The sequence below is a fragment of the Homo sapiens genome, chromosome 5 (genome assembly GCF_000001405.40).
Source record: "Homo sapiens chromosome 5, GRCh38.p14 Primary Assembly".
NCBI lineage: Eukaryota > Metazoa > Chordata > Mammalia > Primates > Hominidae > Homo > Homo sapiens.
The window spans coordinates 134,414,612-134,427,406 of NC_000005.10; the positions used below are offsets into that span (position 1 = coordinate 134,414,612).

Sequence of the window (12,795 nt, forward strand, 5' to 3'; positions counted from 1 at the left end):
GAGGCCGAGGCGGGCAGATCACGAGGTCAGGAGATCGAGACCATCCTGGCTAACACGGTGAAACCCCGTCTCTACTAAAAATACAAAAAATAACCAGGCGTGGTGGTGGGCACCTGTAATCCCAGCTGCTTGGGAGGCTGAGGCAGGAGAATGGCGTGAACCCAGGAGGCAGAGGTTGCAGTGAGCTGAGATCGCACCAATGCACTCCAGCCTGGGTGACAGAGTGAGACTCCGTCTCAAAAAAAGAAAAACTCAAAGTTGTTGAGGGTTCTCTGAGCTAAAGTCTTGGTCACCTGATTGTATAGTACAGAGGTTAGCTCAGAAAGTCTTGGTCACCTGATTGTATAGTACAGAGGTTAGCTCAGAAATAGGAACCCAGGCTCTGCAAATAGCAGCTGCAGTTACACAGCCAATCCTGCCTATGGGGTGTGAAAAAGCTAAAGGTCATGCAGCAACTACCTTATTTAGCATATCTGTGACAATTATGGAGCATATGCATATACATAACATACGGACGAACATATTCAGACATGCATACAATTGTAAACCCAAAAGTGCACAAATAGGTATTCTTTTTTTTTTTTTTAATACAGAATCTTGCTCTGCCATACAGGCTGGAGTGCAGTGCCACATCATGGCTGACTGCAGCCTTGACCTCCCAGGTTCAAGAAATCCTCCCACCTCAGCCTCCATGAGTAGCTGGGACTACAGGTGTGTGCCACAATGCCTGGCTAATTTTTAAGTTTTTCATAGAGTTGGGATCTTGCTATGTTATCCAGGCTGGTCTCAAACTCCCGGGCTCAAGTGATCCTCTTGCCTCAGCCTCCCAAGGTGCTAGGATTACAGGCATGAGCCACTACACCTGGCCAGGTATTCTTTCTTTAAAAAAAAATTGTGATGTTGTTAACATTATGCTTTCAAAATGCTAAGCAGTATAAAATATTGGCCAGGCACAGTGGCTCACAGGCCTGTAATCCCAGCACTTTGGGAGGCTGAGGCAGGCGGATCACCTGAGGTCAGGAGTTCGAGACCAGCTTGGCCAACATAGCGAAACCCTGTCTCTACTAAAAATACAAAATTAGCCAGGTGTGGTAGCACGTACCTGTAATCCCAGCTACTCAGGAGGCTGAGGCAGAAGAATCGCTTGAACCTGAGAGGCAGAGGTTCCAGTGAGCTGAGATCGCACGATTGCACTGTAGCCTGGGCAACAGAGCAAGACTGTCTCAAAAAAAAAAATTGTTAATGGCCACACACAGTGAGACCCTCATCTCTACAAACAATTACAAAATTAGCTGGGCATGGTGGTATACACCTATAGTTCCAGCTGCTTGGGAGGCTGAAACAGGATGATCGGTTGAGCCCAGGAGTTCAAAGCTGCAGTGAGCTATAGTAGCAACACTGCATTTCTGCCTGGGAGACAGAGAAAGACCTTGTCTCAAAAACAAACAAACAAAAAAGTTAATAATTAACACTTCACAGAACAATGTGGCAAGTCCAGTTATTGACCAGTTTGTTGTTTCTAACTTTTTTTCATGATTCAGACTTTTTTTTTTGAGACAGATTCTCACTCTGTTGCCCAGGCTGTAGTGCAGTGGCGTGATCTCAGCTCACTGCAACCTCCGCCTCCCAGGTTCAAGCGATTCCCGTGCCTCAGCATTCCAAGTAGCTGGGACTACAGGGACTTGCCAGCACGCCTGGCTAATTTTTGTATTTTTAGTAGAGACGGGGGTTTCACCGTGTTAGCCAGACTGGTCTCGAATTCCTGACCTCGGGTGATCTTCCCGCCTCAGCCTCCCAAAGTGCTGGGATTATAGGTGTGAGCCACCGTGCCCAGCTGTGTTTAACTTTTTGAACAAACTGTTTTCCACAGTGTCTGAACTACTCTCCACAGTGCTACTGGTAATGCATGAGGGTTCCAACTTCCTCACATTCTTGCCAACACTTAGTATTTTCCCTTTTTTAATTTTTAAATTATAGCCATCCTAGGGGGTACAAAGTGATACCTCATTGTTGTTTTGATTTGCATTTTTCTAATAAGTAATGATCCTGAGCATCTTTCTTGTGCTTATTGGCCGTGTGTATATCTTTTTGGGGACATGTCTATTCAGATCGCTTGCCCCCTTTTTTTCCTCTTTCTTTTTTCCCTTTGTTAGAGTTAATTTTTTGTTTATGAAATATTTCAGGCCAGGCGCGGTGGCTGACGCCTGTAATCTCAGCAGTTTGGGAGGCCAAGGTGGGCAGATCATGAGGTCAGGAGATCGAGACCATCCTGGCTAACATGGTGAAACCCCGTTTCTATTAAAAATACAAAAAATTAGCCGGGCGTGGTAGCAGGCGCCCGTAGTCCCAGCTGCTCTGGAGGCTGAGGCAGGAGAATGGTGTGAACCCAGGAGGCAGAGCTTGCAGTGAGCCACAGAGCTTGCAGTGAGCCAAGATCACGCCACTGCACTCCAGCCTGGGTGACAGAGCAAGACTCCATCTCAAGGAAAAAAAAAAGAAAAGAAAAGAAAAGAAAAAAAAGAAAAAAATATATATATTTCAAACATATGGAAAATTATGGAGAATAATGTAACAGACACCACATTACCTGCTCCAACAACATGAACCTTTCCCATATTTGCTTTGAGGTGTTGTTGTTGCTGTTTAATAGACTTTTTTTTTTTTAGAGCTGTTTTAGGTTCAAAGCAAAACAATAAAGGTGCCAGGCGCGTAGCTCATGCCTGTAATCACAGCACTTTGAGGGGCCAAGGCAGGAGGATTGCTTGAGCCCAGGAGTTCATGACCAGCCTGGCCAACATGGTGAAACCCCATCTCTACAAAAACTACAATAATTAGCTGGGAGTAATGGCACTTGCCTGTAGTGCCAGCTACTCAGGAGGCTGAGGCAGGAGGATTGCTTGAGCCCAGGAGTTCAAGGCTACAGTGAGCTATGATTTAAAAAGGACACTAAAGGATGTAAGATTTTACTCCTACTTTCAACCTAACAAGTATCCATACAACAATTTCAAAGGATACTGGCAAAAGACACAGATCTTGAGACAAAGACAAAGATCTTTATTACTCATAGCACAACAAACAGCATGAGCTTCATGTTTGCCCTGGTTCCCCTTGTCCACCAAGTCCCACAGGGGCTATGCTAAGGGGCCCAGTTAGATGAGATATACAAAGTGGGTTTGTATCACAGCTGAGGAACTCTAAATTGAAAGAACATCAATAATTAATAAAGAAGAACTACAAGCATATTTGCCCAACCTTTTCTCCAGAGCAATTACTTTTATCTGGACAGTAAATAAACCTGCACTTTGCTCTGGAGATAGAAACTATCTCTTTTTTTTTTTTTCATGTAAGTATCTAATTGCTCCAGCAGAGTTTGTTGAAAAGACTATTCTTTCACTCAATTGCCTTGGTAACTTTGTCAAAAATCAATTAACCATATATATGTGTGAGTCTATTTCTGGACTCTGTATTCTGTTCCACTGATCTATGTGTCCATCCTTTTGCTAATACCATATTGTGGCATTTGTTGTTGTTGTTGTTGTTTTTGAGACGCAGTTTCACTCTTCTTGCCCAGGCTGGAGTGCAATGGTGCTATCTCAGCTCACTGCAACCTCTGCCTCCTGGGCTCAAGCGATTCTCCTGCCTCAGGCTCTGGAGTAGCTGGGACTACAGGCGCCTGCTACCACGCCCGGCCAATTTTTTCTATTTTTAATAGAAACGGGGTTTCACCATGTTAGCCAGGCTGGTCTTGAACTCCTGACCTCAGGTGATCCGCCCACCTTGGCCTCCCAAAGTGCTGGGATTACAGGCATGAGCCACGGCGCACAGCCCGTTTTTGTTTTTGAGACAGAGTCTTACTCTGTCACCCAAGCTGGAGTGCAGTGGCACGATCTTGGCTCACTGCAACCTCTGCCTCCCAGATTCAAGCAATTCTCCTGCTTCAGTCTCCAAAGTAGCTGGGACTATAGACGTGCACCAGCACACCTGGCTAATTTTTTTTTCTTTTTTTTTTTTGGTAGAGTTGGGGTTTCTCCATGTTGGTCAGGCTGGTCTCGAACTCCTGACCTCACGTGATTTACCTACCTCAGCCTCCCAAAGTGCTGGGATTTCAGGCATGAGCCACCACACGCAACCCATATTGTGTTGATTACTATAGCTCATGAGTTTGCAAATGTAAAGGGTGGGCTACATATAATTCCTGCTACATACATTTTTATTGTTTCCTTTTTCAACCATTTAAAACTGGAAAAAGCAGTTTTAGCTTTTAAGCCCTGCAAAAACAGGCTGCAGGCTAACCTGTGGGCCACTTTGCCAACCCTGCTATAGATTTATGGCAAGTCTTAAAATCAGGTTGTATGAGTTCTCCAAATGTGTTCTTCTTTTACAAAACTGTTTTGGCTATTTTAGCTTTTGCTTTTTGATATAAATTTTAGCATCAATTTCTAGAAATAAATGTTGCTGGTATTTTAATTGGGATTATCTTTAGTCCATAAATCAACTCGGGGAGAATTAACATCATTATATCAAATCCCCCGATCCATGAACATGGTATATCTCTCCATTTATTTAGGCCTTCTTATTGTTGTGGTATATTTTTAAATCCAGTGAAACATTAGATCTTACATATATTTACCACTTTATTTGTTATCCATTCCTTATCTATCTCTTACCCTCCATCTGGTTTCATTTTCCTTCTACCTGAAAATTTTACATTAGAAATCCTCAGGCCGGGCAAGATGGCTAATGCCTGTAATCCCAGCACTTGAGGAGGACAAGGTGCAAGAATTGCTTCAGCCAAGGAGTTAAACACCAGCCTTAATTAATTAATAAAAAAATTAATTAAGCTGGGCATGGTAGCTCATGCCTGTAATCCCAGCACTTTGGGAGGCCAAAGTGGGCAGATCACCTGAGGTCAGGAGTTTGAGACCAACCTGGCCAAAATGGTGAAACCCTATCTCTACTAAAAATATAAAAATGGTGGCTCATGCCTGTAATTCCAGCACTTTGGGAGGGCGAGGTGGGTGGATCACCTGAGATCAGGAGTTCAAGACCAGCCTGGCCAACATGGTGAAACCCTGTTTCTACTAAAAATACAAAAAATTAGCCAGGTGTAGTGGTGCGTGCCTGTAATCCCAGCTACTTGGGAGGCTGAGGCAGGCGAATTGGTAGAACCCAGGAGGCAGAGGCTGCAGTGAGCCGAGATTGCACCACTGCACTCCAGCCTGGGCAGCAGAGGGAAACTCCGTCTCAAATAATAATAATAATAATACAAAAATTAGCTGGGCGTGGTGGCCCGTGCCTGTAATCCCAGCTACTTGGGAGGCTGAGGCAGGAGAATCACTTGAACCCAGTGGGTGGAGGCTTCAGTGAGCTGAGATCGCCACTGCACTCCAGCTTGGGCCACAGAGCAAGACTCCATCTCAAAAATAAACAAACAAACAAAAAGTAGCCAGGTGTCATGGCATGTGTCTGTGATCCCAGCTACTCAGGAGGCTAAGCAAGATCCTGTCTCAAGAAAAAAAAAAAAAAAAAATTCTGTAGTACAAGTCTGCTGGGGCCAAGTTCATTCACCTGTTGTCTACCTGAAAATGTCTTTATTTTGCCTTCTGTATTAGTCATATGACTGCATAACAAATTGCTCCAAAATGTAGTGACTTAAAATATAAATATTATCTCATAGTTTCTGTGAATCAGGAATTCAAGACTGTCTTAATTTGTTTTCTGGTGTTTCAGTTATGTGAAAGTTTGGCGCTGGAGGATCTACCTCTGAGATGGCTCATTCACATGGCTGTTTGCAGCAGATCTCAGTTCATTACTACATGGATCTCTCCACAAGACTGCTTGAGTGTCCTCACATGGCAGGAGGTCTTCCTTCAGAGTAAGTGAACTAAGAAAAAGCAAGGAAGAAGCCATGCTATCTTTTGTGACTTGGGGTCATAGGTCACATGCCATCATTTTTTACTTACTGTATTCATTGAAAGTGAGTCACTAAGTCCAGTACACATTCACAAGTAGGGAAATTAGGCTCCACCTTTTCTTTTCCATTTTTTTTTTCTTTTGAGACACAGTCTCACTCTGTTGCCCAGGCTGGAGTGCAATGGCACATTCGAGGCTCACTGCAACCTCAACCTGCTAGACTTAAGTGATCCTCCCACCTCAGCCTCCCAAGCAGCTGGTACACACCACCACGTCCAGCTGATTTTTAAAAATTTTGGCTGGGCGTGGTGGCTCACACCTGTAATCCCAGCACTTTGGGAGGCCGAGGTGGGCAAATCACAAGGTCAAGAGATTGAGACCATCCTGGCCAAGGTGAAACCACGTCCCTATTAAAAATACAAAAATTAGCTAGGCATGGTGGTGTGTGCCTGTAGTCCCAGCTACTTGGGAGGCTGAGCAGGAGAATCGCTTGAACCCAGGAGGTGAAGTTTGCAGTAAGTCAAGATTGTGCCACCACACTCCAGCCTGGTGACAGAGTGAGACTCTGTCTCAAAAAAACAAATTTTTTTTGGTAGAGTGTATTAGTCCATTTTCACACTGCTGATAAAGACATACCTGAGACTGGGAAGAAAAAGAGGTTTAATTGGACTTACAGTTCCACATGGCTGGGGAGGCCTCAGAATCATGGCGGCAAAAGGCACTTCTTACATGGCGGTGTCAAGAGAAAAATAAGGAAGAAGCAAAAGCAGGAACCCCTGATAAGCCCATCAGATCTCGTGAGACTTATTCACTATCACAAGAATAGCATGGGAAAGACCGGCCCCCATGATTCAATTACCTTCTCCTGGGTCCCTCCCACAACACATGGGAATTCTGGGAGATACAATTCAAGTTGAGATTTGGGTGGGGACACAGAGAAACCATATCATAGAGGCAAGGTCTCACTATGTTGCCCATGCTACAGCATGGCAACTCCTGTGCTTAAGCAATCCTCCCAAAGTGCTCAGCCTCCCAAAGTGCTAGAATTACAGGCATGAGCCACCGAGACCACCTTTCTTCTTCTTTTCTTTTCTTTCTTTTTCTTTTTTTTGAGACAGAGTACCGCTCTGTCACCCAGGCTGGAGTGCAGTGGTGTGATCTCGGCTCACTGCAAGCTCCGCCTCCCAGGTTCACGCCATTCTCCTGCCTCAGCCTCCCGAGTAGGGCACCCACCACCACTCCCGGCTAATTTTTTGTATTTTCAGTAGAGACGGGGTTTCACCGTGTTAGCCAGAATGGTCTCGTTCTCCTGACCTCGTGATCCACCCGCCTTGGCCTCCCAAAGTGCTGGGATTACAGGTATGAGCCACTGCGCCTGGCCTCTTCTTTTCTTTTCTTCTTCTTTTCTCCTCCTCCTCCTGCTCCTCTTCTTCTTCTTTCTTCTCCTTCCTCTTCCTCCTCTTCTTCTCCTTCCTCTTCCTCCTTCTCCTTCTTCCTTCCTTCTTCTCCTTTCTCTTCCTCCTTTTCTTCTTCCTCCTCCTGTTTCTCCCTCCTTCTCTTTTCTCCTCCTTATTCTTCCTCCTCTTTTCCCTCTTCTTCCTCCTTCTAAGATTACCTTACAGAATATTCCTTACTAATTATTTTTATTAAGGACCTAGAAACCCTAAGCTAATTATGGATATTCTAGCCATGAGTGGTGATGTACACCTGTAGCCTTAGCTACTTGGGTGGCTGAGGCAGGAGCATCACTTGAACCCAGGAACTCATGCTGCAGTGACCTATAATTACATTACTGCACTCCAGCCTGGGTGACAGAGCAAGACCCTATCTCAAAAAAAAAAAAAAAAAGAAAGAAAGAAAGAAAAGAAAAGAAAAAGAAAGAAATAGAACAAATATTTAATTTTGCATTCTCAGTATTTATAGATAACCATGTTTCCTATGTAGAATTATTAATATAATGACTTACATTAGTAGATTTTCTTATATCAAACCTTATTTCTATTCCTAGATTAAACTCCATTTGGACATAGTATATTATTCTTTCAGTATGTTTTTGGATTTTGTTTGCTATAATTTTATTTATGATTTTTAAATATTTATGAATTAGATTGGTCTATTTTTTCTTTATTCTTATAATTATTATTATTATATTTTGATATTGATGGAGTCAGAACATGCTACCCTAAAACATGGCACCTTGGCATTTGAGAAAGCAGCAAGAGGAAGGTCACTCTCACCATCCCTTCTCCTCTCCCTTCCCCCCAAAACAGGTCATACAACCTAGGAAGGCCTTTCCAGCCTAGAGCCGCAGAGATGTTGATGCCTAAGAAGAACTGGATTGCCATTTATGAACTCCTTTTTAAGGAGGGAGTCATGGTGGCCAAGAAGGAGGTCTACATGCCTAAGCACCCGGAGCTGGCAGACAAGAATGTGCCCAACCTTCATGTCATGAAGGCCATGCAGTCTTCCAAGTCCCGGGGCTATGTGAAGGAACAGTTTGCTTGGAGACATTTCTACTAGTACCTTATCAATGAGGGTATCCAGTATCTCCATGATTACCTTCATCTGCTCCTGGAAATTGTGCCTGCCACCCTATGCCACAGCCATCCAGAGACTGGCAAGCCTCAGCCTAAAGGTCTGGAGGGTAAGTGACCTGCAAGACTCACAAGAGGGGAAGCCGACAGAGATACCCACAGACAAAGTGTTTTGCCCCCTGGTGCCAACAAGAAAGCCGAGGTTGGGGCTGGGTCAGCAACCGAATTCCAGTTTAGAGGCGGATTTGATGGTGGATGTGTTCAGCCACCTCAGTAAAATTGGAGAGGATTATTTTGCATTGAATAAACTTACAGCCAAAAAAAAATTTAAGAAAACTAAAAACAAAACAAAACAAAAAAAAAAACCTAGAAAGTTACTCTCTGACCTTTTCCCCTGAAGCAGGTCATAAGGCCCTCATTCAAGAGGTACCCTTCCTGTAGCCAGAAGACAGGAATATCCTTATTCCTGAAGACACGGAGAAAAAGAATCTAAACAAACAGGCCTTACTAGGTTTCACTGAGTTTATTATCATTAGATCATACCTTTTTTTTGTTTAAATAGGGTCTTGCTCTGTCACCCAGGCTGAAGTGTAGTGGCAATCACAGCTCACTGCAGCCTCCATCTCCCAGGCTCAAGCAATCCTCCCACCTAAGTCTCCCAGTAGGTGGGACTACAGGCCGTGCCACCACACCTAGCTAATTTTTTATTTTTTGTAGAGATGGCATCTTGCTATATTGCCCAGGCTGGTCTGGAACTCCTGGGCTCAAGTGATCCTCCTACCTCAGCCTCCAAAATTGCTGGGATTACACGCACGAGCCACTGTGCCCTGCTGAGCATAACCCTTTGTCCTCCAATCACATTACTCCACAACTGTCCATGTTCCGACAAACCTAAGCATACAAGGCAGGCAGATTATCTGAGGCCAGGAGTTCAAGACCAGCCTGGCCAAAATGGCCAAACCCCATCTCTACTAAAAATACACACACAAAAATTAGCTGGGGGAGGTGGTGCACACCTGTAGTCCCAGCTACTTAGGAGGCTGAAGGAGGAAAATCACTTGAACCAGGGAGGTGGAGGTTGCAGTGAACTTAGATGGCACCACTGTACTCCAGCCTGGGCAACTAAGAGAGGCTCCATCTCAAAAATACAAAACAAAACAAAACAAAACAAAAAACCTTAAGCATAAAAATACACAATTTTACCTGCTTTTTGAGTCCTCATTTCTGAAGACTACTGTGTCATGTAAAACTTATATAAATTTGTGGGCTGGGTGCAGTGGCTCACACCTGTAATCCCAGCACTTTGGGAGGCCAAGGCAGGCGGATCACCTGAGGTCAGGAGTTTGAGACCAGCCTGGCCAACATGGTGAAATCCCGTCTCTATTAAAAATACAAAAATTAGGCAGGGCGCAGTGGCTCATGCCTGTAATGCCAGCACTTTGGGAGGCTGAGGCGGGTGGATCATGAGGTCAGGAGATTGAAACCATCCTGGCTAACACAGTGAAACCCTGTCTCTACTAAAAATACAAAAAAAAAAAATTAGCTGGACGGGGTGGCAGGTGCCTGTAGTCCCAGCTACTCGGGAGGCTGAGGCAGGAGAATGGTGTGAACCCGGGAGGCGGAGCTTGCAGTGAGCCAAGTGAGCCACTGCACTCCAGCCTGGGCGACAGAGCGAGACTCCGCCTCAAAAACAAACAAACAAACAAAAAATACAAAAATTAGCCAGGCATGATGGTGGGCACCTGGACTCTCAGCTACTTGGAAGGCTGAGGCACGAGAATCACTCAAACCCGGGAGGCGGAGTTTGCAGAGTGGAGAGTCTGTCTCAAAAAAAAAAACAAAAAACAAACAAACAAAAAACTGGATCCACCAAAGAAAACAACTGTTTTCCATCACCTCCCATGTATCTCATTATCTACTGCAAAAAAGAAGATTGAGGAATATAACCCTACCTGGACTGACCTTTTCACAAGATCATGTCTGTTTCTAAGGCTCACTCAACTGCAAAGAGGATCATTTACAGCTTAATTTCTGTTCTCCAAGGTCCATTCATTCTCCCTAATAATCATTTATTGCCCCTCAAAAGAATGACCTACATTTCCCCTCCTCTGTGAATAAAGTTATATAAGCATCTGGGGGCATCTGGGCACCATAGGATTATTTGGGTAATCACTTCGTGATCCCCAATTTCCCCCTCCCATCAATAAATATGTATGCCTTTTTCTCCTATTAATCTGCGCGTTTTGTCAGTTCATTTTCAGTGAATCTTCAGAGGGTGAAGGGGGAAGTTTTTCCCCCTTCACCTCTGAAAACTGAACTTCTACCGACATCTAGGGTTTTTCCTTTTTTTTTTTTTTTCTGCTCTGTTGCCCAGGCTGGAGTGCAGTGGCATGATCTCAGCTCATGGCAGCCTCTGCCTCCCGGGTTCAAGCAATTCTCCTGCCTCAGCCTCCAAAGTAGCTGGGACTACAGGTGCCTGCCACCACGCCCGGATAATATTTTTGTATTTTTTTTTAGTACAGTCAGGGTTTTGCTATGTTGGCCAGGCTGGTCTCGAACCCCTGACCTCGTGATCCACCCACCTCAGCCTCCCAAAGTGCTGGGACTACAGGTGTGAGCCACCACACCTGGCTTTTTTTTTTTTTTTTTTTTTTTAACTGGGGACACACAGCCTTTGGTGGAAGCTCACAGCAGCTTTGACCTCCTGGACTCAAGCAATCCTCCTACCTCAGCCTCCTGGGTAGCTGGGACTACAGGTGCGCCACCACGCCCGGCTAATTTTATTTAAATTTTTCATAGAGACAGGGTTTTGTCATGTTGCTCAGGCTGGTCTTGAATTCCTATGCTCAAGCAATTCTTCTGCCTTAGCCTCCCAAAGTTTGGGGATTACAGGTGTGAGCCACCGTGCCCAGCCCTCATGCACACTTTTAAAGTTTTTACTACGTTTTGCCAAATCCAGGTTTATACCTAAGTTTCCATACCTACGAGTTGCAGGCTTACTCTTTAAAGCTGGTGAACAGCTACAGCAATCATTACTCTCACATTCTTGAATTTCCAGACTCTTTTGAGCAGTCTCTTTCCTCTTTGTGCAGCCCCCCAGCTCTGTGGCTGATGTTCAATAGAAGTGCCTGGCCCAGAGGCCCTGGCACTGAAACGTGGGGCTGGAAAACAGCTGGTCCTTTTTTTATTTTATTTTATTTTTTTGAGATGGATTTTCACTCTGTTGCCCAGGTTAGAGTGCAGTGGCATGATCTCGGCTCACTGCAACCTCCACCTCCCTGGTTCAAGCAATTCCCCTGCCTCAGCCTCCTGAGTAGCTGGGATTACAGGCACATGCCACCATGGCCAGCTAATCTTTTTGTGTTTTTAATAGAGATGGGGTTTCACCATGTTGGCCAGGCTTGTCTTGAACTCCTTATCTCAGGCAATCCACCCGCCTGGGCCTCCCAAAGTGCTGAGATTACAGGCGTGAGCCACCGCGCCCAGCCTTCCAGCTGGTCCTTATTTATCCTCCAGCACTTTCAGCTGTTCTGTTCCGATTTTGATCCATGCAACGCGGGGGATGGGGGGACAATCCAACAGGTGAATCCTCTCCCACCCCCAGAAATGGCTCAAGGAGACCTCCTAGTGGGTTACAGGACCACTGAGCCATGGACCCCAGGGTCACCTTTCTTCCCACCACAGTCAAGCTCAGCACATAACTTAAATGCATAGTGGTCCCGGAAGTGTCAAGGAGAACAAAATGCCCATTTTTTTCCCTCCATACACAGCAAAACTGTTCTAATACAGCCAAATGAACTGGAGAAGCAGTTTTATTCTTGCCCTTCCTGCCGAGGAAAAACTGAAAATGCAGGTGCCGAGAAAATACTAAATGGAGGCCAGAGGCGGTGGCTCACGCCTGTATTCCTAGCACTTTGGGAGGCCAAGGTGGGTGGATCGCCTGAGGTCAGGAGTTCGAGACTAGCCTGGCCAACATGTTGAAACCCCATCTCTACTAAAAATACAAAATTAGCCAGGCATGGTGGCAGGCGCCTGTAATCCCAGCTACTTGGGAGGCTGAGGCAGGAGAATCGCTTGAACCCGGCAGGCGGAGGTTGCAGTGAGCCGAGATTGCGCCATTGCACTTCAGCCTGGGTGACAGAGCAAGACTCTGTCTCAAAAAAAAAAACCTAAGTAGAGAGTGCTCTTGGAGCAGGGTTTCCAGCCTTTCAGAGGAAAGTTGGAAAACGCTAAAAGTTTTCAAACTTTGGGATCTTCAGCTCTTACAGAAGTATCTAAATCCCAGCTACTTGGGAGGATCCCTTGAGCCCAGAAGTCCAAGGCCAGCCTAGGCAATGTGGCAAGACTT

General features: G+C 45.2%; 1 pseudogene, besides 1 other annotated feature; it reads left to right on the forward strand.

Annotated features, from left to right (window-relative positions):
- Positions 8,217–8,679, forward strand: RPS10P11 (ribosomal protein S10 pseudogene 11; annotated as a pseudogene).
- Positions 11,774–11,974: a silencer, noted in NCBI's record as "peak5476 fragment used in MPRA reporter construct". NCBI's record gives its function as "represses an SCP1 promoter by STARR-seq MPRAs in K562 erythroleukemia cells {active_cell/tissue: K562}" and the evidence as "EXISTENCE:reporter gene assay evidence [ECO:0000049][PMID:32103011]".